Source organism: Homo sapiens, chromosome X (genome assembly GCF_000001405.40).
Source record: "Homo sapiens chromosome X, GRCh38.p14 Primary Assembly".
Taxonomy (NCBI): Eukaryota; Metazoa; Chordata; class Mammalia; order Primates; family Hominidae; genus Homo; species Homo sapiens.
In genome coordinates, this window is record NC_000023.11 from 56,784,932 (window position 1) to 56,811,276 (window position 26,345).

The following is a 26,345-nucleotide window of genomic DNA, read 5'->3' on the forward strand; positions in this document are numbered from 1 at the left end:
CATGGAACACACAGCTCTTCAAATATTGCAAATGTTTTCTGTCTTTGCTTGTTACAAATCTTCCTGGATGTGTAGGCCGCACTGGGAATGAGCAGAGTTTCATAGGACAGAAAATTCATGCCACGGGTAATGATTCTCACACTCATGAGAGTGTGAACCACTCTCACAAGAGGAACATCAATCTCGGGTGTGGGCCTGCACTCCCAGGGCATTCCAGGAAGAAGACTCACATGACCATGGAACAGGAGTCACCCCCTTTCTGTCACTTGTCAACAAATGCGGATTCTTTTTTCACATGTAGGTAGCATGCACCAGGGGGTGCTTCTGCCCCTTCCTAGGGACAAAGGGAGAAGAAAAGAATGCAGGAAGATTTGGACTGTGTCTTTGGGGTGGCATTGCGACTCTGAGTGTCAGAGGACCTCGTTTTTAACTTTTAACTCCCATCACGCTTCAACTTTTTCCCATCTTCATCTGTGCTTCCATAGTTCCTCAGACAAATACACGTATCCCCACGCACACTCACAAGTGTCTGGCCAGACACCTTCATTCACCTCCGGGTACAGTCGTCTAGGCAATTCTCAGGGGGCAGTTTTTCAGCTTTCCCTTTCCTTCTTGTTTACCTTTCTTGTTGTTTCCTGTCTGGCTTCCCAATATTTGCTGATGGTGTGTGCGGGATGGGGTTGGGGTTGGGGCAGTAGAGAGCAGGGCAGCCTCCTGAACCAACAGGCCTCTATGCAGTCGCGGTGCAGACTCGGGCTTAAGGGGCTGACACTTTCTTCTTGCTGGTGGCTCTTTTTCTGTGAGGACACAAGAAGTCACTCACAGGGCTGCCAGCTATTCATTTGGTGCACTCTGCATTCCAGTTCCCTCTCAACCTCATTGATTTCTCTGATTCTTTGTGTACTTTTGGAGATTCCCTCCTTTCACTTTTTTCTCCTTCACTGTCTTTACATTTTGTCCACTTCTGTTTGGGGAGGTCAGGAGCAGCCTGGAAGACAGGGTTGACTGGTTGCGGGGACACCCTCAGGGAAAACAGGCTTACTTTTCCTAAGGAAATTAGAAGGACTCTAGCTGACCCCGTGAGGAAAAATTGGCATTTCCCTCCCCTTTCTGCCCTCTCTCCATATTGCCATGGGTGGCTGATTCCCTCTTTTCTCTGGTGTCTGATTCATCCCTGTTTATTATCTTTTTTTTTGGAGGTGGGGTAGGGGGTCCTTCCCTGCTTTGGCCTTGTAGACTTGGTGCTGGGTGGCCCCTTGTAGTCGGCTGATGACATCCTCAGGGCAAGGTTCAGCCTGCACCTGTGTCCTCTGTAGCTTCTGCAGGCCCATATGTGGATCAAAGTTTTGATCCCACTCAGGAGAGATCCCATTGACAAGAAGCTTCCTAGTTGTTTGTCCTTTAAAGGGCTGTGACTATGGCTCTTTGTCCTTTGTTGTGTACATCACCATGCATTGAGGTCTTCCTGAACTAGATCCTTCAGGACAGCTACAGTGGCGTGAACCTCCCACTTTCTGTTCTTTTTCTGCTTCTGGTTCTTCTTCATCTTCCTCCTTCTAATCCTCATCTTTAATTCTTCTTCTCCTCTTTTTTATCCTCTTGCTCCTTCTCTTCCAACATCCTCTTCTTCTCCTTCTCCTCCTCCTTCTCCTCCATCATCTCCTCCCTCCTCCTTCTTCTTTCTCCTCCTTCTCCTTCTTTCTGCTTCTTCTTTTTCTTCTTCTTCTTCTTCTTGTGCCTCTGCCTCCTCCTCCTTTGCCTCTTCTTTTTTTGCTTTTGCTTCTGCTTCAGCTTTTTTTCCCCCCTTCACTGTCGGATCTGGGCGGGCAATTGTTCTAGGAGACTGCTTCTTCTTTTGCTCTTTTGTGATGTGTGATGTTCCTCTGCAACATTAGGCCTGGAGAAAGCTTCACTTTCATTCTTAAAGGAGCACAGATTGAGGTCACCAGTTTAGTCCTTCTGGTCCACCAAAAAGCTGCCAACATGTTACTTTTAAATGAAATGTCGTGGTGAATGAATGCCCCCTTCACCCAGTACCTCATGGCTCACTATTATTTCCCGTTCTCCTTCTGGATGCTCTAAGTGTGTAATTCTGAGTCATTATGAGATTTGTCAAGTTGTCATCTCTCTCCTTTTTTCCAGTCCAGCCATGTGAACACATTGATCCGGATTTCAGTGTGTGCAGGCAGGGTGTCTCTGCACGTCCATTTGCTGACTCTCACTAACAAAGGTAGGCACCCACAGACCACAGACACAGACACAATGCACGCACTCACAAGGGAACATGAACCAGAAATGAAATCACAAACACACATGCACACAGACACATGCACACACAGACACAAACACACACGTTAAACAAGCCCAAGCAGACACACGCACACACACACACAAACACACAGAAGTAAGCTCACACTAGCAAAGGGGCGTGGGCTTAAGCATTGTTGTACACAGACACACACCACCACAGGCCTGAAGCTACCCACAATCTCTTCCACATGGGCTCTAAATGTGCAAAGGGGAACGGGGGACAAACAAGCATTCCTGGCTGCAGGTGTGGGTCATCATGCCATTTATTGGGCAACTAAGGCCTTCTTCTGAACATAAATGCAGGAAGTCTGTTATCAGATAGGCCCAAGCAGCAGGTGTGAAACTGGAGCATCCTGGGTCAAGCTGCTTAAAAAGGGACCCCACTTTGGGGTAGGGGTAGATAAAGTCCCCTTGGGATCCTTGTCCTTGTGTGATGCCATGAGAATCTGGTGTGTGGTGGCCTTCCCCAGCCAACCTGTGCCACCCTCCTCTCACCCTTGCCTGTGTGAAAGCAGAGTCAGACTTGAGTGAGGTGTTGAGTGTCCCCTGTGAGGAGACTCTGGCCTCAGGCCCTGTAGCTGCCTGTTGAGTGGGTGGCCCCAGTGGCCCATTCTGGTGACCTCCATTTATGATCCCAAGTTGGCAAACTCTACCTGCAGTTCCAGGCCTTGGGAAGTCTCCTAGTCTGGGGGCAAATCCTTGTATAAGACAGCCGAGTGGCCAGCGCCTCGTCCTGGAGCTGCAGCCCTATGATCCCAGTCCTCCTGTGGTTTCCCAGAGGCCATGATAATGTGTTCTTTGTCTTTTACTTTCTGCACCTGCGGGAGCCATGAAACCTAGAGAGGACCAAAGGAAGGGCAAAGGCTGGCTGCCTCCATAGCATTCCCGCAGGGTCTCCAGGCTACTGGTCCTTGGTGCTAGAGTCCCCTGAGTTTGGTTGTCAGCCTGGGACCAGGTGGCTTGTTCCTTTCTCTTCTCCTTATCTTTTTTATTTTTTTCTCCTTCCTCTTTATTCACATGGGAGAAGGCAGAGACCATCAGCTTAGAGAAGCAAGGTTATGGTTGTAGTTGGCATTTGTGGAGCCATACTGCCATCAAGTGGAAACTGTTTCTGGAAATGGGAGGGAGCTGGGCACAAGTGCTGGGGAAAGCCCAGGGGCACAAAACAGATGGTGGCATGGGGCCCCCAGACTGAAGCAGGATGAGAGAGGAGCTCCTCACTGGCCCTTGGCCTGGGCTCATTCCCAGGATGGTGCCCTGGCTCCACAGCTGCATGTAAGAAAGGGCAGTTGGGGCAGCCCACCATGGCTTCCCCTGGCAGTTTCCAGGAACTGCCGGGCATGAGTCGCCCCACACTCAGCACCCCGTAGCTCCTTTTTTTTTTTTTTTACCAGGAAGATAGGGGCCTTCTGGCCTTACTGTGGCCCCAGCCAAGGAGGGCAAGCTGTAACTGCCCACAGAAGAAACCAGAGTAAACCACTTCATTCTCTGGCTGTCAGTGGCCAGTGGCTTCCCTTATGCGTATCTCAAAATGGCTGGGGGGCAGCTTCACTGTGTGGACTGACTCGTCTTGGGGCTGCCTGGCTGCCCTGTGTCAGGGCCTCTAGAGTAACTGCTTCTCCAAGGGGTCCCAGTGGCAGGCACTCTTTGTTCTAGGGCTCTAAACCCCAGTTGGGGAAACCCTGGCTTAAGCAGAGTCCACCCAGCCCCGCACATTTTCACTGATCTCTGTGCCTGGCAGAAGGCGAGTGTCCCTGCAGCCTGTTGTCATGTTCAGAAACATCTTCCTCTGGGTGGCACTGTGGCTCCGCAAATGGCAGTCACGTCTTTTCCTTCCCCCACCTTGCCTTGTCTTTCTCCATTTGCTGCCAACGGAATAAAACAAATGCCAAAAACAAAAAGCAAAGAAACAACGAAGAAACTGGCCAAGGATCACCCACCTCACCTACAGCAGGGATCCCCACCTACGTGGTCACTTTGGGGGAACCTGCAACAGTAGGAGGTTCTTTGCCTCCCTCCTTCCCTCTGGATTCTTCTCTGGGCAGGGTACCCAGTGAACCAGAGGAGTCTGTTCTCATGAAATCCCACCCTTAGGGCTGTGTCATGGTGGGGGTAGGTTGTACTGGGGGCAGTATGATGGGGTACAGGAGAGGGATGTGTGAGTGTGTGGGCCTGCATGCAGGCCACTGCAGATTCCTCTAGGAATTGGCCCAGGTCCCCAAAGCAAGAGACCAGGCCTCATGATGGCATGCACCACACTTGTCCCTAGGTAGCACTCTTCCTCTTGGGGAAGGGACAAAATCTTGGATGGAAAGCAGCCAGGTCCAACAGGCATCCACACATTGTTGAGCCATGGAGCAGCAGGGAGTTGGGTCGGATGTTTGTTGAGATGGGACTGCATGGGACTGACTCCTGTTCGAGGCCTTCAGCTACCTCTCTCTCTGGAGCCCAGGCACTCATAGGGGTCCAGGGGTTGGAGGGATTTTCCAGGTTTTTTCACAGGTGGCTCTCCTGGAGAGAGAGCCACTTGTCATGTCTTACTGAGCGTGCATGCTCACTGGAACGTGGTGGTTCACCAGTTATTTGCCTTGGCATCTTGGTCATTCTTCCCATGTGCATGGGTAGCCAGAGCCCAGACAGTGCTTGCCTTCTCCTGGGCCCTATCTTTGTTCCTGTTCTGCGTGTCGAAATGGAGGTTGAGCCTGGAGTGTGTTGGTGGGGGGTGTGGTGGAGTGTCTGTGCCTTTGTTTGATACAGAGCTCTCTGAGGTCCTCAAGCTAAACTCTGGTGCTTGCCGGATATTCATCCAGAAAAATGAATGAGACAGTCGAGGACAAATTATGCTGCCCCTTTAGGGTCTCCAGGAAGACATAAGAAAGCCTCACTTGGGCCATCATACAGAGCCCATTTTGGGATGCGAAGCCATGACCGCGTTGCTCTAAAGGTTACATATGCTACCCATGCTGCTTGATGCCTGGGCAGCAGTATGGAACACACAGCTCTTCGAATATTGCAAATGTTTTCTTTCTTTGCTTGTTACAAATCTTCCTGGATGTGTAGACCACACTGTGAACAAGCAGAGCTTCATAGGACAGAAAATTCACCCCATGGGTATTGATTCCCACACTCAGGGGTGTGTGAACCACTCTCACATCACAAGAGCAGTGTCAATCTCGTGTGTGGGCCTCTACTCTCAGGGCATTCTGGGAAGAAGACCCACATGACTATGGAACAGGAGTCACCCCCTTTTGGTCACTTGTCAACAAATGCAGATTCTTTTCTCATAAGTAGGTAGCATGCACCACGGGGCACCTCCGGCCCTGCCTAGGTACAATGGGAGAAGAAAAGAATGCAGGAAGATCTGACTGCGTCTTTAGGAGTGACATGGCAACTCTGAGTTTCAGAGGTCCTCGTTTTTAACTTTTAACTCCCATTACGTCTCAACATTTTCCTGTCTTCATCTGTGCTTCCAAAGGTCCTCAGATACATACACATCTCACCATGCATACTAACAAGCACCTGCCCAGACACCATTCACTCCCAGATCTGGTTGTCTAGGCAACTCTTAAGGGGCAGTTTCTCAGCTTTCAGGTTCCCTCTTGTTCACCTTTCTTGTCGCTTTCTGCCTCACTTCCCAATATTTGCTGGCAGATCGTGCGGATGGGGTTGGGGTGGGCGCAGTGGGGAGCATGGCAGCCTCCTGGCCCAACAGGCCTCTGTGCAGATGTGGTGCAAACCCAGTCTTAAGGGGCTGACGCTTTCTCTTGGCTGGTGGCTCTTCTTCTGTGAAGCCACGGAAGGCCACTCACAAGGCTGCCAGCTGTCCACCTGAGGCACTCTGCATTCCAGTTTGCTCTCAACCTCATTGCTCACTCTGTTTCTCCGTGTACATTTGGAGTTTTCCTCCCTTCACTTTTTTCTTCTTCACTGTCTTTACGTTTTGTCCACTTTTGTTTGGCAAGGTCAGGAGCAGCCTGGAAGTCATGGTCTACTGGGGGAGGGGTCACCCTTAGGGAAAACAGGCTTACTTTTCCTAAGGAAATTAGGATAACTCTAGCTGACCCCTGTGGGGAGAAATTGGCATTTCCCTCCCATTTCTGCTCTGTCTCCGTATTGCCATTGGTGGGTGACTACCTCTTTTCCCTGGTGTCCGATTCATCCCCATTTATTATCTTCCTCTTTTTTGGGGGGTCCTTCCCTGCCTTGGCCTTGTAGACTTGGGGCAGGGTAGCTCTTTGCAGTTGGCTGATGACATTCTCAGGGCAATGTTCAACCTGCACCTGTGTCCTCTGTAGCTTCTGTAGGCCTATTTGTGGATCAAAGTTTTGATTCCACTCAGGAAAGATCCCAACGAAAAGAAGCTTCCTGATTATTTGTCCTTTAAGCGGAACATGACCAGTGGCTCCTTGTTCCTCATTATGTATGTCACCATGCATTGACGTCTTCCTGAACTGGATACTTCAGGACTACTACAGTGGCATGGACCTTTCTGTTCTTGTTCTCCTTCTGATTTTTCTTCCTCTTCCTCCTCCTACTTTTTTTCTTTAATTTTCCTTTTTTTATCCTCTTGCTCCTCCTCTTCCAGTTCATCTTCTCCTCCATCTTCTTCTACTCCTATTTTTCCTCCTCCTCCTCCTTCTTCTTCTTATTGTTGTTGTTGTTCTTCTTCTTCTTCCTCTTCCTCTTCCTTTCTTTCTCCTTCTTCTTCGTCCTCCTCCTCCTCTGTCTCTTTTTTTTTCTTTTTAATTTTTTTTTCTTTGCTTTTGCCTCTTCTTATGCTTCTCTTTTTCACTTCACTTTTGGATTTGGGTGGGCAAGTGTTCTAGGAGACTGCTTCTTCTTTTGCTCCTTGGTTATGCTGGATGTCTGTCTGCAGCACTAGGCCTGGAGAAAGCTTCACTTTCTTTCTTACAGGAGCACAGATGAAGGTCATCAGTTTAGTCCCTCTGGTCCACCAAAAAGCTGCCCACATGTTATATTTAAGTAAAATGTCGTGGTGAACGCACCCTTACCTCGTACCTCATGGGTTGCCATTATTTCCCATTCTCCTTAAGGATGTTGGAAGTGTGTAATCCTGAGCCATTAGGAGCTTTGGCAACTTGTCCTCTGTCTCTTTTTTTTCCAGTCAAGCCATGTGAACACATTGATCTGGATATCAGGGTGTGCAGGCAGGGTGTCTCTGCCACGTGTTCATTTGCCTACTCTCACTCACACAGGCAGGCACCCACAGACCACAGACACAATGCACTTACTCACAAGGGACCCTGCAACCAGAAATAAAATCACAAACACATGCACACAAAGAGACACATGCACGTGCAGACACAAACATTCATGTCAAATACGCCCAAGCAGACACACACACACACAAACACACACAAGTTAACTCACACTAGCAAAGGGGTGTGAGCTCAAGCATTATTGGACACAGACACACACACCCCACCACAGGCCCAAAACTGCCCACAATCTCTTCCACACTGGTTCTAAATGTGCAAAGCAGAATGTGAGACAGGCGAGCATTCCTGGCTCCAGGCCTGGGTCATCATGCCATTTATTGGGCAACTAGGGCCTTCTCCTGAGAATGAATGTGGGAAGTCTGTTATCAGATAGGCCCAAGCAGCAGGTGTGAAACTGGAGCATCCTGGGTCAAGCTGCTTAAAAACGGACCCTGCAACCAGGGTAGGGGCAGAGAAAGTCCCCTCAGGAGCCTTGTCCCTATGGGATGCCATGAGAATCTGTGGCACGTGGTGGCCTTCCTCAGCCTCCCTGAGCCACCATCCTCCCACCCCGCCTGTGTAAAAGCCAAGACAGCCTGAGCAGAGTCAGACTTGAGTGAGTTGCTGAGTGTCCCCCGTGAGGGAGACTCCGGGATTCTGGTGACCTCCATGTGCCATCCCAAGGTGGTAAACTCTACCTGCAGCTCCAGGCTTTGGAGGACCCTCAGTTCTGGGGAAAATTGTTTTGTAATCCAGCTGAGTGGCCAGCGCCTTGTCCTGGGGTGGCAGCCCTGTGATCCCAGTCCTCCTGTGGTTTCCCAGAGGCCATGATTATGTGTCCTTTGTCTTTTACTTTCTGCACTGGTGGGAGCCATAATACCTGGAGAGGACCAAAGGAAGGGCAAAGGCTGGCTGCCTCTACAGCATTCTGCAGGATCTCCAGTCTACAGGTCCTTGGTCCTAGGGTCCCCTAAATTTGGTGGTCAACCTGGGACCAGGTGGCTGGTTCCTTTGTCTTCTCCTTGTCTTTTTTTTCTCCTTCCTCTTTACTTTTTTCACATGGGAAAGCATGGAGGGCCTCAGCTTGGAGGGGCAGTTGAGGTAGTAGTTGGCATTTGTGGAGCCATACTGCCATCAAGCGGAAACTATTTCTGGAAACGGGAGGCAGCTGGGCACAACTGCTGGGGAAATCCGAGGGGCACAAAAGAGATGGTGGCGTGTGGCCCCCAGACTGAAGCTGGATGAGAGAGGAACCCCTTGCTGGCCCTTCGCCTGGGCTCATTCTTAGGATGGCACCCTGGCTCCACAGCTGTCTTTAGGAAAGGGCAGTCAGGCCGGCTGTGAGCAAGCAGAGCTTCATAGGACAGAAAATGGCTTCCCCTGGCAGTCTCCAGGAACTGCCAGGCATGAGTCACCCCACACTCAGCATCCTGAAGCTCCTTTTCCTCCCGGGAGGGTAGGGGCTCCCTGTTCCCCCTGTGGCCCCCCAAGGGCACCTCGGAGCTGCCCACAAAAGAGACCAGGGTAAACAGCCCCATTCTCATCCATCAGTTGCCAGTGGCTTCCCTTATGCACATCTCAAAATGGCTGCTGGGGCAGCTCCACCCTGTGGGTTGACTGGTCTGCAGGCTGCATGGCTGCTCTGTCTCTGGGCCTCTAGAGTAGCTGCTTCTCCAAGGGGTCCCAACGGCAGGTACGCTTTGTTCTAGGGCTCTAAACCCTGGTCGGGGAAACCCTGGCTCAGGCAGAGTCCACCCAGCCCCGCATATTTTTGCTGACCTCGGTGCCTAGCAGAAGGCAAGTGTTTCCGCAGCCTGTTGTCATGTTCAGAAACACCTTCTGCTGGATGGCACTGCGACTCCACAAATGGCAGTCATGTCTTCTTCTTCCCCCACTGTGCCTTCGTCTTTCTCCATTTCCTGCCAACTGAACAAAACCAACACAAAAAAACAAAAGCAAAGAAACAAAGAAAGAAACTGTCCAAGGAGTACCCACCTCACCTATAGCAGGTCTCCCCACCTACGAGGTCACTTTGCGGAAACCTGCAACAGTAGGAGGGTTCTCTGCCTTCCCCCTTCCCTCTAGATTCTTCTCTGGGCAGGGGTCCCAGTGAATTAGAGGATCCTATCCTCAATACATCCCACCCTTAGGCGGTGGCATGGTGGGGGTAGGTTGCACTGGGGGCAGTGTGAGGGGGTACAGGGGGAGGGGTGTGTGGGTGAGTGGGCCTGCGTGTGGGCCCCTGCCGATTCCTCTATGAATCTGCACAGGTCTCCTAAGAAGAGACCAGGCCGAATGCTGGTGCACACCACACTTGTCTCTAGGCAGCAGTCTTTTTCTTGCTGAAAGGTTAAAAGCTTGGATGGAAAGCAGCCAGTTCAAACAGGTATCCATACATTGTTGACCCATCCAGCTGCAGGGATTCGGGCCAGATATTTCTTGTGATGGGACTGGATGGGAGGGACTCTTGTCTGAGACCTTCAGCGACCTCTCTCACTGGAGCCCAGGCACTCATTCGTGCCCAGAAGTGGGAGGGGTATTTCTGGGTGAATTTCACAGTTGGCTCTTCTGGAGAGAGAGCCACTTGGCATGTCTGATAGAGCATGCATGCTTACTGGAACGTGGTGGTTCACCAGTTAGTTGTTCTGGCATCTTGGTCATTCTGCCAAAGTGCATGGGTAGCTCGCTTTCACCTGGGCCTGTCTGTGTTGCTGTGCTGCGTGTGAAAGGAGAGATTTTATGTGGAGTGTTTTAATTTGTGGTTGGGCAATTGTGCCTTGGTTTGATACAGAGCTCTCTGGGGTCCTCAAGGTAAACTCTGGTGCTTGCTGGATATTCATCCCAGAAAATGAATGAGATGGTCGAGGACAAATTATGCCGGCCCTTTAGGGTCTCCAGGCAGACATAAGAAAGCCTGACGTGGTCCATCATACAAAGCCCATGTTGGGATGCGAAGCCATGACCGTGTTGCTCTAAAGGTTACATATGCTACCCATGCTGCTCAGTGCCTGGGCAGCAGCTTGGAACACAATGCTCTCTGAATATTGCAACTGTTCTCTGTCTTTGCTTGTTACAAGTCTTTCTTGATGTGTAGGCTGCACTGGGAACAGGCAGAGTTTCACAGGACAGAAAATTTACCCCATGGGTAATGATTCCCACAATCAGGGGTGCGTGAACCACTCTCACAAGAGGAACGTCAATCTCGTGTATGGGCCTGCACTCTCTGGGCATTCCGTGGAGAAGACCCACATGACCATGGAACAGGCTTCACCCGATTTCTTTTAATTGTCAACAAATGCAGGTCCTTTTTTCATATGTAGGTAGCATCCACCACGGGCGCACCTCTGGCCCTGCCTAGGGAAAACGCGAGAATAAAAGAATGCAGGAAGATCTGGACTGTGTCTTTAGGGGTGGCATTGTGACTCTGAGTTTCAGAGGTTCTCGTTTTTAACTTTTAACCCCCATTATGTCTCAACTTTTTCCTGTCTTCATCTGTGCTTGCATAGGTCCTCAGGCACATCCATGTATCCCCACCCATGCTCATAAGTGTCTGCCCAGACACCTTCATTCACACCTGTGTCTGGTCCTCTAGGCCGCTCTCAGTGGGCAGTTTTTCAGGTTTCCGGTTCCCTCTTCATCTTTCTTGTCCCTTTCTGTCTGACTTCCCAGTATTTGTTGGCATAATGTTCAGGATGGGGTTGGGGTGGGGGCAGCGGGGAGCAGGGCAGCCCCCTGGCCTAACAGGCCTCTGTGCGGATGTGGTGGAGATCTGGGATTATGGGACTGACTCTTTCTCCTGGCTGATGGCTCCCTCTCTGTGAGCCCACAGGAGGCCACTTGGGCTGCCAGCTGCCCACCTGGAGCACTCTGCATTCCAGTTCACTCTCAACTTCATTGCTCACTCTGATTCTTTGTGTAGTTTTGGAGGTTTTCTCCCTTCACTTTTTTCTTCTTTACTCTTTTTACTTTTCATTCACTTTTGTTTGGGGAGGTCAGGATCAGCCTGGAAGTCAGGGTCAACTGGGCTAGGGAACACCCTTAGGGAAAACAAACTTATTTTTCCTAAGGAAATTAGAAGGACCCCAGCTGATCCCTGCAAGGAGTGATTGGCATTTCCCTTTCCTTTCTGCCCTCTCTCCATATTGCCATTTGTGGCTGATTATCTCTTTTCCCTGATATATATTTCCTCCCCGTTTTTCATCTTCCTCTCTTTTTGGGGGTCCTTCCCTGCCTTGGCCTTGTAGGCTTGGGGCTCAGTGGTTCCTTGCAGTCTGCTGATGACATCCTCAGGGCACTGTTCAGCCTACACCTGTGTCTTCTGTAGCTCCTGCAGGACTATTTGTGGATCAAAGCTTTTGATCCCACTCAGGAAAGATCTCATTGACAAGAAGCTTCTCGGTTGTGTGTCCTTTAAGTGGGACATGACCGGTGGCTCCCTGCCACTCGTTGTGTATGTCATCACACATTCAGGTCCCCCTGAACTAGATCCTTCAGGAGAGCTACAGTGTCATGGACCTCCCACTTCCTATTCTTTTTCTCCTTCTGTTTCTTCTTCCTTTTCCTACTCCTGCTCCTCTTCTTTATTGTTCTTTTCCTCCTTTCCTCCTCCTCCTCCTCCAACTCCCTCTCCTTCTTCTTCTTTTTCTTTCCCTCTTCTTCTTTCTTCTTCTTCTTCCTCTTCTTCCCCTTCCCTCCTTCTCCTTCTTCTTCTTCCTCTTCCTCTTCTTCTCTCCTTCTTTCCTTTTCCTCCTCCTTCTCCTTCTTCTTTTCTTCTTTGACTTCTCTTTTTGCCTTCTTTTTCTTTCTCTCCTTCTTTTCTATTTCTCCTTCTACATCTTTTTTTCTACTTTTCTTCTCCTTCTTCTTCTACTTGTTCTTCTTTCTTTCCTTTTTTTTTCACTTTTGGATTTCTGCATGCAAATGTTCTAGCAGATTGCTTCTTCTTCTCCTTGGTGATGGGGAATGTCCTTCTGCAGCTCTAGGCCTCAAGAAATGCTTCACTTTTCTTCTTAAAAGAACAGCGATGAAGGTCACCAGTTCAGTCCTTCTTTTCCACCAAAAAGCTGTCCTCGTGTTACTTTTAAGTGAAATGTCATGGTAAACACACCCTGTACCTAGTACCTTATAGCCCACCATTCTTTCCTGTTCTCCTTGTGGACTCTCTAAATGTGTAAACCTGAGTCAGTAGGAGCCTCAGCAATTTGTTACATTGTTCCCCTATTGCCTTTCCTTCCAGTCAGGCCAGGTGAACAAAACGATACGGATTTCAGTGTGTACAGTCAGGCTGTCTCTGCCATGTGCCAATTTGCCCACTCTCACTCACACAAGCAGGAACTCACAGACCACAGACACAGAACACATGCACACACTCACAAGAAACCCCACAACCAGAAATGAAATTACAAAACCCATACACACATGGAGATACATGCAGATGCAGACACAAACACACATGCAGACACACACACGCAGGCACACTGACACATAAAGTCACACATACACAACCAGACCAATAAACAGGTAACCTCACATGGGCACAGGGGTTGGGGCTCAAGCATTCTCACACTTAGAGGTAAACAAACACACAAAGCCACAGGCATGAGACTGCCCACACTGTCTCATACGGGCTCTTAATCTCTGACAAGCAATGGGCTATGGGCAAGCATTCCTGGCTTCAGGCCTGGGTCCTCATGCCATTGATTGGGCAACTTGGCTTTCTCCCAAAAATGAATGCGGGCAATCTTTTATCAGAAAGGCCACAGCAGCAGATGTGAAACTGGAGCATCCTGGGTCAACCCGCTTAAAAACAGACTCCCCTTTCAGATAGAGGCAGAGAGAGTCCTGTTGGGATCCTTAGCCCTTTGTGATGTCATGGGAATCTGTGGCAACGTGGTGGCCTTTTTGAGTCCCCCTAAGCCACATCCTCCCACCCCTGCCTGTGTGAAAGCCAGGACAGCCTGTGCAGAGTCAGACTTGCACGAGTTGCTGAGTGTGCTTTCTAAGGGATACACCTGCCTCAGGTCCTGTGGCTCCCTGTTGAGCAGTCTGCCCGTTCTGGTGACCTCCATCTGCCAGCCCAAGGCGGTAAACTACCTAGAGCCTTTGGGAGGACTCCTAGTCCTGCAGTAAAACCTTGTGTAAGCCAGCTGAGTGACCAGCACCTTGTCTTGGAACGGCAGCCCTTTAATCCCAAGCCTCTTGTGTCCCAGTGCCCATGATTATCTGTCATTTGTCTTTTACTTTCTGCAGGAGCAGGAGACATGAAACCTGGAGAAGGCCAAAGAAGGGCAAAGACTGGCTGCCTAAACAGTATTCCTGCAGGGTCTCCAGCCTACTGGTCCTTGGTCATTGGGACCTGTGAGTTTTGGTGGTCAACCTGGGACCAGTTGGCTCGTTCCTTTCTCTCCCTCCTGTCTTTTTCTCGTTCTCCTTCCTATTTGCTTTTTTCACATTGGAAAAGGTGGAGGCCCTCAGGGTGGAGGAGCAGGGTTACAACTGTACTTGGCGTTTGTGGAGCCATAGTGCCATCAAGTGGAAATTGTTTCTGGAAATGGGAGGCACCTGAGCTCATGTGCTGAGGAACGCTCGGGAGTGCCAGACAGATGGTGGTGTGGAGCCCCCAGGCTGAAGCTGGGAGAGGAACTCCTGTCTGGCCCATGGTCTATGCTCATTCCCAGGATAGCGCCCTGGCTCCACAGCTCTCTTTGTAAGAATGGACAGGCAGGGGCGGCCCACCATGGGTTCCCCTGGCAGCCCCCAGAGACTGCTTGGCATGAGTTGCCCCACCCCAGCATCCCAAAACTTCTTTGTTCCCAGGGAGGATAGGGTGCCCCTGTCCCTGCGTGGCCCCAGCCAAGGGCACCCCTGAACTCTCCACAAAAGAGACCAGAGCAAATGGCCCCAGTCTCGGCAGTCAGTGAACAGTGGTTTCTCTTAAACCCATTTCAAGATGGGGAAGCTCCGCCCACTGGGCTGACTGGTCTTGGGGCTGCCAGACTGTTCTGTCCCCGGGCCTCTAGCTTAGCTGCTTCTTCATGGAGTTCCAATGGCAGGTACACTTCCTTAAGGGCTCTGAACCCCAGTGGGGGAAACCCTGGCTTGGGCCTAGTCTACCCAGCCTGGCACATCCTCGCTGATATCTGTGACTGGAAGAAGGCAAGTGTCCTTGTAGTCTGTTGTCAAGAAACACCTTCCGCCGGATGGCACTGTGACTCCACAAATGGCAATCACCCCTTTTCCTTCCTCCACTTTGCCTTTCTCTCCTTCCTTTTGCTGCCAACCAAACAAAACAAACACACACAAAAAAAACAAAGAAACAAAGAAACTGCCCAAGCAGCACCCACCTCATCTTCAACAGGGCTCCCCACCTATGTGGTTACTTTGGGGAAACTTGCAACAGTAGGAGTGATGTCTGCCTCTCCTACCCTCTGGATTCTTCTCTGGGCAGGGGGTCCCAGTAATCCAGAGGAGCCTATCCTCAAGAAATGCTATGCTTTTGCTGTGGATTTGTAGCACCGGGGGCAGTGTGAGGGGGTAAAGGGGGAGGGGTGTGTGGGTGTTTAGGCCTGTGTGTGGGCCGCTGCAGATTCTTCTATGAATCTGCACAGGTCTCCTCAGAAGGAGACTGGTGCCTGCCTAGGGAAAACATAGGAAGAAAAGAATGCAGGAAGATCTGGACTGTGTCCTTAGGGGTGGCAAGGTGACTTTGAGTGTCAGAAATCCTCATTTGTAATATTTAACTCCCATCTCATCTAACTTTTTTCCTGTCTTCATCTGTGCTTCTATATGTTCTCAGGCACATACATGCATCCCCACCAATACTCACTAAAAGGTGTCTGCCCAGGCACCTGTGCTCACACTCAGATCCCCACATCTAGGTAACTCTCAATGGGAAGGGTTCTTCAGCTTCCCGGTTTTCTCTTATTCATTTTTGTTCTCCCTTTCTGTCTGGCTTCCCAGTATTTGCTGGTGGAGTGTGTGGGATGGTGTGGGGGTGGGGGCAGTGTGGAGCAGCGCAGTCTCTTGGCTCCACTGGCCTCTGTGTGGACCCAGTACAAACCCTGGCCTAAGGGTCTGATGCTTTTCTCTGGTAGGTGACTCTTCTTGTACGAAGGCACAAGAGGCCATTTGGGCAGCCACCTTTCCACCTGGGATATCCTGCATTTCAGTTCACTCTCAACCTCATTGCTCACCCTGATTCTTTGTGTACTTTTGGAGTTTTTCTTCCTTCACTTTTTTCTTCTTCACTCTTTACTTTTCATCAATTTCTGGTTTAGGGAGTTCAGGATCAGCCTGCAAAAGCAGGGTCGGGTGGGCACAGGAATGTCCTTAGGGAGAGTAAGCCTACTTTTCCTAAGGAAATCAGAAGGACCCGGGCTGAACCCTGGGGGTGTAAGCAGCATCCCCCTCCCCTATCTGCCTTCTGTCAGTGTTGCCATAGGTGGCTCATTACCTCCTTTCTCTGGTATCCATTTCCTCCCCGTTTTACATCTCTCCTCCCACCCATTTCCGGGGTACTTCCCTACCCAGGCCTTGTAGATTAGAAGCCCGTGGCCCCTTGCAGTGCGCTGATGACATCTGGAGGGCATGGCTCAGCCTGCACCTCTGTCCTCTGTAGCTTCTCTAGGCCTACTTGTAGATCAAAGCCCTTGATACCACTCGGAAAAGAACCCATCAACAAGAAGCTTCTTGGTGTTGTGTCCTTTCACCGGGACATCACAGGTTTCTCTTTGCCTCTTGTTGTGTATGCCACCATGCAGTGAGGCACCCCTGAACTAGGTCCTTCAGGACAGCTGCTGTGGCGTGAAGCTGCCACTTCTTGTTCTTATTGTCTTTCTGGTTCTTCTTCCTCTTCCTCCTCCTCCTCTTTTTTCTTTTTCTTTTTCTTCTACTCCTTCTCCTTCTCCTTCTCATTTTTCTCTTCTTTCTTCTCTTTTTCCTTTCACTTTTGGCTCTTGGCGGGTCAAGCATTATACTGAGACTGCTTCTTCCTCTGCTCCTGGTGATGCAGGATGCCCCTTTGCAGAACAAAAGTGAGAAAGGCCTCATTTGTTCTTAAAGGAGCAGATATGAAGGTCACCAGTTCAGTCCCTCTGGTGTTCCACAAAGGCGCCAATGTGTTACTTTTCATGAAATGTCACCATGAACCCACCCCTTAACCTGTTCCTCATGGCTCACCATTCTTTCCCATTCTCTTTGTGGATGCTCTAAATGTGTAATCCTGAGCCAGCAGGAGCCTTGGCAAGTTGTCCCCCTTTGTCTTTTCTTTCAATCCAGCCATGTGAACACAACGATCCAGATTTCAGTGTGTATAGGCAGGCTGTCTCTCCCACGTGCCCATTTGCCCACTCTCACTCACACAGGCAGGCACCCAGAGACCACAGACACAGACACAACCACATGGACTCACAGGGAAACCCCGACAACCACAAATATAATCACAAACACACATGCACAGGGAGATACACACACAGACACAAAGACATACACTAACACATGCACACTCACAAACTCATAGACACACACACACACACACACACACACACACACACACACAAATCCTCACACAGGCCCAGGGGTGCGGGCTCAAGCATTCACCCACACAGACGCACACACACATGTGTCGCCATAGCCACCAGACTGCCCACGAACTCTCCCATAAAGGCTCTCAGTCGGCCACAGGCAATGGGCTATGGGTGAGGATTCCTGGCTCCAGGCCTGGGTCATTATGCTGTTGATTGGGCACCTAAGGCCTTCTCCTGAGAATGAATGCGGGAAGTCTGTTATCAGATAAGCCCCAGCAGCCAGTGTGAAACTGGAGCCTCCTGGGTCAACCTGCTTAAAAAGGGACCACACCTTGGGTAGAGGCAGACAGTCCCCTTGGGACCCTTGGCCCTCTGTGATGCCATGGGAATCTGTGTTGCGTGGTGGCCTTCCCCAGTTCCCCTAAGCCACCCTCATGTCACCCCTCCCCCCCACCCCATGTGAAAGCCAGGACAGCCTGCACAGAGTCAGACTTCAGTCAGTTGCTGAGTATCCCCTCTGAGGGAGATTCCTGCCACACGCCCTGTGACTGCCTGTTGAGCTGTTCGCTCATTTTGGTGACCTCCATGTGCCAGCCCAAGGTGGTAAACTCTATCTGGAGCTCCAGGCTTTGGGAGAACCACCAGTCCTGCAGCAAAACCTTGGGTAATTCAGCTGGGTGACCAGCACCTTGTCCTGGGGCGGCAGCCCCATGATCCCAGTCTTCCTGTGGTTTCCCAGTGGCCATGATTATGTATCATTTGTCTTCTATTTTTCTGCATGAGCATGAGCCATGAAACCTGGAGAGGGCCAAAGGAAAAGCAAAGGCTGGCGGCATAAAGAGGATTTCCGCAGTGTCTCCTGCCTACTGGTCCTAGGTCGTAGGGTCCCTTAAGTTTGGTGGTCAACCTGAGACCAGGTGGCTGGCTCCTTTTTATCCTCCCTGTCTTTTTTTTGTTTCTCTTTCCCTTTTCTTTTTTTCACATTGGAAAGGGTGGAGGCCGTCGGATTGGAGGGGCAGGGTTAAGCTTGTAGTTGGCCTTTGTAGAGCCATAGTGCCATCGAGCGGAATCTGTTTCTGGAAACTGGAGGCAGCTGGGCATGAGTGCTGGAGAAATCCCAGGAGCACGAAAGAGATGGTGGCGGTGTGGGGCCCCCAGGCTGAAGCTGGACGAGAGAGGAACTCCTGGCTGGCCCTTTGCCCTTGCTCATTACCAGGATGGCACCCGGGCTCCACAGCCCTCTCCGAAAAAAGGGCAGGAAGGGGCGGCCCTCCATGGGTTCCCCTGGCCATCTCCAGGAATTGCCGGGCAGGAGTCGTCCCGCCCACAGCACCCCACAGCTCCTTGGTTCACTGGGAGGATAGGGGACCTCTGGCCCCAGCGTGATTCCAGGCAAGGGCACCCCAGAACTCCCCACAAAAGAGACCAGTGTAAACGACCCCAGTCTCGGCCGTCAGTAGTCAGTGGCTTCCCTTAAGCCCACCTCAAGATGGCTGCCAGGGCACCTCCGCACTCTGGACTGACTGGTCTTGGGGCTGCCTGGCTGCTCTGTCCCTGGGCCTCTAGATTAGCTGCTTCTCCGTGGGGTCCAAATGGCAGGCACACTTCCTTCAAAGGTTTAAAACCGCGATGGGGGAAACTCTGGCTTAGTCAGAGTCCACCCAGCCCGACATATTCTCGCTGAAGTCTGTGCCTGTCAGAAGGCAAGTATCCCTGCAGCCGGTCGTGTTCAGAAACAACTGCCGCTGGATGGCAGTGTGGCTCCAGAAATGGCAGTCACTTATTTCCCTTGCTTTTCTCTTTCTCCTTTTGCTTCCAACAAAACAAAACAAAACAAAAAGAAAAGAAAGAAAGAAAGAAACCGGCCAAGGAGCGCTCACCTCATCTACAGCAGGACTCCCCACCTACATGGTCTCTTTGGGGAAACCTGCAACATGCGAAAGGCTCTCTGCCTCCCTCCTTCCCTCTGGATTCCTCTCTGGGCAGGGGTCCCAGTGAGCCAGAGGAGCCTATCCTCAAGAAATCCCACCCTTGGGGCTGTGGCATGGTGGGGATAGGTCGCACTGGGGGCAATGTGAAGGGGTATGGGGGAGGGGTGTGTGAGTGCATGGGCCTGCTTGTAGGCCACTGCTGATTACTTCTCTGAATTTGCACAAGCCTCCTAAGGAGACCAGGCTGCCTGCTTGTGAGCACTACGCTTGTAAATAGGGAACACACTGTTTCTTGGGGAAGGGACAAAAGCTTGGATCAAAAGCACCCAGGTCCAACAGGCATCCATAGATTGTTGACCCTTCTAGCAGAAGAAGGTCGGGCCAGGTGTCTGTCAGGATGAGACTCGACAGATTGGACACCTGTCCCAGGCCTTCAGCTACTTTTCTCACTGGAGCCCAGGCACTCATCCATGCCCAAGAGTAGGAGGGGTATTCTGGGTGGCTTCCACAGGCGGCTCTCCTAGAGAAAGCCACTTGGCATAGCTGATGGAGCATGTGTGCTCACTGAATGTGATGGCTCACCAGTTAATTCCCCGGGCATCTTAGTCATTCTGCCAAATACATGGGTAGCCAGGCCCCAGCCATGCTCACTTTCGCCTGGGCCTCCTCTGTGTTCCTGTGCTGGGCATGGAAGTGAAGGTTGAGGCTGGCGTGTCTTTGCAGATGGTGAGGTGGCTGTTCCTTGGTTTGATACCGAGCACTCTGGGCTCCTCAAGCTGAATTCTATTGCTTGTCAGATTATTCAGCCTGGAAAATGGATGAGACAGTGGAGGACAAATTGTGCCACCCCTTTTGGGTCTCCAGGCAGAAATGGGAAAGCCATGCATGGGTCCTTCATACAGAACACTTGTTGAGATGCAAAGCTGTGGCCTCATTGCTCTAAAGGTTGCATGTCTTACCCATGCCTCTCAGTGACTGGAGAGCAGCATGGAACACAACCATCTCAGAATATTGCAAATGTTTTCTTTCTTCGCTTGTTACAAGTCTTCCTGGATGTGTAGGCTGCACTGGGAACGTGCAGAGCTTTAGAGGAGAGAAAATTCACCCTACAGGTTATGATTCCCACACTCAGAGGGGTATGACCTACTCTCACGAACGTCAGTTTCATGCATGGGCTTGCACTCTCAGGGCATTCCAGGAAGAAGGGCAACAGTACCATGGAACAGGAATCACTCCCTTTCTGTCACTTGTCAACAAATGTGGATCCTTTTCTCATGTGTAGTAATCACCATGGGGGCACCTCCAGTGCCTGCATAAGGAAAATGCAAGAAGAAAGGAATGCAGGAAGATCTGGACAGAGTTCTTCGGGGTGGCATTGGGAGTCTGAATGTCAGAGGTCCTCATTTTTAACATTTAACTCCCATCACATCTCACCTTTTTCCTGTCTTTATCTGTGCTTCCATACATCCTCAGGCACATACATGTATCCTCACCCATAGTCACTCAAAAGTGTAGGCCCAGGCACCTCCCGTAAAACCTGGATCCCATTGTCTAGACAACTCTAACTGGGCAGGGTTCCTCAGCTTCCAGGTTCTCTTTTGTTCATCTTTCTTGTCCCTATCTGTGTGGCTTTCCAATATTTGCTGGCAGAGGATGCAGGATGGGGTGGTGGTGGGGGCAGTGGGGACCAGGGCAGCCTCCAGGCTTGCCAGGCCTCTGTGCCAATGTGGTGCAGACCTGGGACTAAGGGGCTGACTCTCTTGGCTGATGGCTCTTCCTCCTCTGTGAGGCCACAGGAGGCCACTTGGGCTACTACCTGTCTACTTGGTACACTCTGCATTCCAATTCACTCTCATCCTCATTGCTCACTCTAATTCTTTGTGTACTTTTGGAGTTTTTCTCCCTTCACTTTTTTTTTATTATACTTAAAGTTCTGGGGTACATGTGCAGAACACGCAGGTTTGTTACATAGATATAGACGTGCCATGGTGGTTTGCTGAACCCATCAACTCGTCACCTACATTAGGTATTTCTCTTAATGCTATCCCTCCCCTAGCTCCCCACCCCATGACAGGCCCCGGTGTGTGATGTTCCCCTCCCTGTGTCCATGTGTTCTCATTGTTCAACTCCCACTTATGAGTGAGAACATGTGGTGTTTGGTTTTCTGTTCTTCTGTTAGTTTGCTGAGAATGATGGTATCCAGCTTCATCCATGTCTCTGCAAAGGACATGAACTCATCCATTTTATGGCTGCATAGTATTCCATGATGTATATGGGCCACATTTTCTTTATCCATCTTATCATTGATGGGCATTTGGGTTGGTTCCAAGTCTTTGCTTTTGTGAACAGTCCCGCAGTAAACATATGTGTGCATGTCTCTTTAGAGTAGAATGATTTATAATCCTTTGGGTATGTACCCAGTAATAAGATTGATGAGTCAAATGGTATTTTTAGTTCTAGATGCTTGAAGAATTGCCACACTGTCTTCCAGAGTGGTTGAACTAATTGACACTCCCACCAACAGTGTAAAAGCATTCTTATTTCTCCACATCCTCTTCAGCATCTGTTATTTTCTGACTTTTTAATGATCACCATTGTAACGGGCATGAAATGGTATCTCATTCTGGTTTTGATTTGCATTTCTCTAAAGCCCAGTGATGATGAGCTTTTTTATATGTTCATTGGCTGCATAAATGTCTTCTCTTGAGAAGTCTCTGCTCATATCTTTCGCCCACTTTTTGATGGGGTTGTTTTTTTCTTGTAAATTGGTTTAAGTTCTTTGTAGATTCTGGATATTAGCCCTTTGTCAGATGGGTAGATTGCAAAGAGTTTCTCCCATTCTGTAGGTTGCCTTTTCACTCTGATGATAGTTTCTTTTGCTGTACAGAAGCTCTTTAGTTTAATTATATCCCATTTGTCTATTTTGGCTTTTGTTGCCATTGCTTTTGGTGTTTTAGTCATGAAGTCTTTGCCCACGCCTGTATTCTGAATGGTATTGCCTAGGTTTTCTTCTAGGTTTTTTATGGTTTTAGGTTTTAGGTTTAAGTCTTTAATCCATCTTGAGTTAATTTTTGTATAAAGTGTAAGGAAGGGTTCCAGTTTCACCTTTCTGCATATGGCTAGCCAGTTTTCCCAGCACCATTTATTAAATAGAAAATCCTTCCCCATGGCTTGTTATTGCCAGGTTCATCAAATATTAGGTGGCTGTAGATGTGTGGTGTTATTTCTGAGGCCTCCATTCTGTTCCATTGGTTTATATATCTGTTTTGGTACCAGTATCATGCTGTTTTGGTTACTGTAGCCTTGTAGTGTAGTTTGAAGTTAGGCAGCGTGATGCTTCCAGCTTTGTTCTCTTTGCTTAGGATTGTCTTGGCTATTTGGGCTCTTTTTTGGTTCCATTTGAACTTTAAAGTAGTTTTTTTCTAATTCTGTGAAGAGAGTCAGGGGTAGCTTGATGGGGATAGCATTGAATCTATAAATTACCCTGGGCAGTATGGCCATTTTCATGATATTGATTCTTCCCATCCATGAGCATGGAATGTCCTTCCATTTGTTTGTGTCCTCTTTTATTTCATTGAGCAGTAGTTTGTAGTTATCCTTAAAGAGGTCCTTCACATCCCTTATAAGTTGGATTCCTAGGGATTTTATTCTCTTTGTAGTAATTGTGAATGGGAGTTCACTCATGATTTGGCTCTGTGTTTGTCTGTTCTTGGGGTATAGGAATGCTTGTGATGTTTGGACATTGATTTTGTATCCTGAGACTTTGCTGAAGTAGCTTATCAGCCTAAGGAGATTTTGGGCTGAGACGATGGGGTTTTCTAAATATACAATCATGTTATCTGCAAACAGAGACAATTTGACTTCCTCTTTTTCTAATTGAATACCCTTTATTTCTTTCTCTTGCCTGATTGCCCTGGCCAGAACTTCCAATACTGTGTTGAATAGGAGTGGTGAGAGAGGGCATTCTTGTCTTGTGCCAGTTTTCAAAGGGAGTACTTCCAGTTTTTTCCCATTCAGTATGATATTGGCTGTGGGTTTGTCATGAATAGCTCTTATTGTTTTGAGATACATTCCATCAATACCTAGTTTATTGAAAGTTTTTAGCATGAAGGCTGTTGTATTTGTCGGAGGCCTTTTCTGCATCTATTGAGATAAGTGTGTGGTTTTTTGTCATTAGTTCTGTTTATGTGATGGATTAAGTTTATTGATTTGAATATGTTGAACCAGCCTTGCATCCCAGGGATGAAGCCGACTTGATCGTGGTGGATAAGCTTTTTCAAATGCTGCCTAAAATCCTCTTTCTTTGTTGTGTCTCTGTCAGGCTTTGGTATCAGGATGATGCTGGCCTCATAAAAGTTGGGGAGTTAGGGAGGATTCCCTCTTTTTCTATTGTTTGGAATAGTTTCAGAAGGAATGGTACCAGCTCCTCTTTGTACCTCTGGTAGAATTCGTCTGTGAATCCGTCTGGTCCTGGACTCTTTTTTGGTCAGTAGGCTATTAATTGCTCCCTCAATTTCAGAGCCTGTTATTGGTCTATTCAGGGATTCAACTTCTTCCTGGTTTTGTCTTGGGAGAAGGTACATGTCCAGGAACTTATCCATTTCTTCAAGATTTTCTAGTTTATTTGCATAGAAGTATTTATAGTATTCTCTGATGGTAGTTTGTATTTCTGTGGGATCAGTGGTGATATCCCCTTTATCATTTTTTATCACATCTATTTGATTCTTCTCTCTTTTCTTCTTTATTAGGCTGGCTAGAGGTCTATCTATTTTGTTGATCTTTTCAAAAAACGAGCTCCTGGATTCATTGATTTTTTTGATGGGTTTTTCTTGTCTCTGTATTCTTCAGTTCTGATTTGATCCTAGTTATTTCTTGCCTTCTGCTAGATTTTGAATTTGTTTGCTTCTGCTTCTCTATTTCTTTTAAATGTGATATTAGGTTGTTGATTTTAGATCTCTCCTGCTTTCTCTTGTGGGCATTTAGTGCTATAAGTTTCCCTCTCCACACTGCTTTAAACGCATCCCTGAGATTCTGGTACGTTGTGTCTTTGTTCTCATTCATTCAAGGAACATATTTATTTCTGCCTTTATTTCGTTATTTACGCAGTAGTCATTCAGATGCAGGCTGTTCAGTTTTCATGTAGCTGTGCGGTTTTGAGTGAGATTCTTAATCCTGAGTTGTAATTTGATTGCACTGTGGTCTTAGAGACTGTTATAATTTCCGTTCTTTTGCATTTGCTGAGGAGTGTTTTACTTCCAATTATTTGGTCAGTTTTAGAATAAGTGCAATGTGCTGCTGAGAAGAATGTATATTTTGTTGATTTGGGGTGGAGAGTTCTGTAGATGTCTATTAGGTTCACTTGGTCCAGAGCTGAGTTCAAGTCCTGGATATCCTTGTTAATTTTCTTTCTCGTTGATCTATCTAATATTGACAGTGGGGTGTTAAAGTCTCCCACTGTTTTTGTGTGGGAATGTAAGTCTCTTTGTAGGTCTCTAAGAACTTGCTTTATGAATCTGTGTGCTCCTGTATTGAGTGCATATATATTGAGGATAGTTAGCTCTTCTTGTTGCATTGATTTATTTACCATTATGTAATGTCCTTCTTTGTCTCTTTTGATCTTTGTTCATGTAAACTCTGTTTTATCAGAGACTAGGATTGCAACCCCTGCTTTTTTTGGCTTTCCATTTGCTTGGTAAGTATTCCTCCATCTCTTTTGTTGAGCCTGTGTGTGTCTTTGCATGTGGGATGGGTCTCCTGAATACAGCACACCAATGGGTCCTAACTCTTTATCCAATTTGCCAGTCTGTGCTTTTAATTGGGGCATTTAGCCCATTTACATTTAAGGTTAATATTGTTATGTGTGCATTTAATCCTGTCGTTATGATGCTAGCTGGTTTTTTTGCCTGTTAGTTGATGCAGTTTCTTCATCATGTTGACAGTCTTTACAATTTAGTATGTTTTTGCAGTGGCTGGTACTGGTTGATCCTTCCATGTTTAGTGCTTCCTTCAGGAGCTCTTGTAAGGCAGGCCTGGTGGTGACAAAACCTCTCAGCATTTGCTTGTCTGTAAAGGATTTTATTTCTCCTTTGCCTATGAAACTTAGTTTGGCTGAATATGAAATTCTGGGTTGAAGATTCTTTTCTTTAAGAATGTTGAATATTGGCCCCCACTCTTTTCTGGCTTGTAGGGTTTCTCCCGAGAGACCTGCTGTTAGTCTGATTGGCTTCCCTTGTAACCCAACCTTTCTCTCTGTCTGCCCTTAATATTTTTTCCTTCATTTCAACCTTGGTGAATCTGACAATTATGTGTCTTGGGGTTGCTCTTCTCGAGGAGTATGTTTGTGGTGTTTTCTGTATTTCCTGAATTTCAATGTTGGCCTGCCTTGCTAGATTGGGGAAGTTCTCCTGGATAATATCATGAAGAGTCTTTTCCAACTTGGTTCCATTCTCCCTGTCACTTTCACGTACACCAATCAAATGTAGTTTTGGTCTTTCCACATAGTCCCATATTTCTTGGAGGTTTTGCTCATTTCTTGTTACTCTTTTTTCTCTAATCTTGTCTTCTTGCTTTATTTTATTGAGTTGATCTTCAATCTCTGATATCCTTTCTTCTGCTTGATCCATTCAGCTATTGATACCTGTGTATGCTTCACGAAGTTCTTGTGCTGTGTTTTTCAGCTCCATCAGGTCATTTATCTTCCTCTCTAAACTGGTTATTCTAGTTAGCAATTCATCTAACCTTTTTTCAAGGTTCTTAGCTTCCTTGCATTGGGTTAGAACATGTTCCTTTAGCTTGGAGGAGTTTGTTATTACTCACCTTTTCAAGGCTACTTCTGTTAATTTTTCCAACTCATTCTCTGTCCAGTTTTGTTCCTTTGCTGGTGAGGAGTTATGATCCTTTGGAGGAGAAAAAGTGTTCGGTTTTTGGAATTTTCAACCTTTTTGTGCTGGTTTCTCCCCATCTTCATGGATTTATCTACCTTTGGTCTTTGAAGTTGGTGACCATCAGCTGAGGTCTCTGATTGGATGTTCTTTCTGTTGATGTTGATACTATTCCTTTCTGTTTGTTAGTTTTTCTTCTAACAGTCTGGCTCCTCTGCTGCAGGTCTGCTGGAGTTTTGCTGGAGGTCCACTCCAGACCCTGTTTGCCTGGGTATCACTAGCGGAGGCTGCAGACCAGCAAAGATTGCTGCCTGTTCTTTCCTCTGGAACCTTTGTCCCAGAGAGACACCTGCCAGATGCCAGCCAGAGCTCTTCTGTATGAGGTATCTGTCAGTTCCTACTGGGAGGTGTCTCCCAGTCAGGATACATGAGTGTCAGGGATTCACTTGAGGAGGCAGTCTGTCCCTTATCAGAGCTCAA

At 48.4% G+C, this 26,345-nt stretch overlaps 1 protein-coding gene across 1 annotated transcript in view, besides 2 other annotated features; it reads left to right on the forward strand.

The window, feature by feature from the left end:
- The window catches only part of NBDY (negative regulator of P-body association), an 89,937-nt gene that overhangs the window by 55,689 nt on the left and 7,903 nt on the right, over positions 1-26,345 (forward strand). The window lies entirely within an intron of this gene.
- Positions 15,943-16,012: an enhancer, noted in NCBI's record as "active region_29698". NCBI's record gives its function as "activates an Ori minimal core promoter by ATAC-STARR-seq in GM12878 lymphoblastoid cells {active_cell/tissue: GM12878}" and the evidence as "EXISTENCE:reporter gene assay evidence [ECO:0000049][PMID:35858748]".
- Positions 18,512-18,651: an enhancer, noted in NCBI's record as "active region_29699". NCBI's record gives its function as "activates an Ori minimal core promoter by ATAC-STARR-seq in GM12878 lymphoblastoid cells {active_cell/tissue: GM12878}" and the evidence as "EXISTENCE:reporter gene assay evidence [ECO:0000049][PMID:35858748]".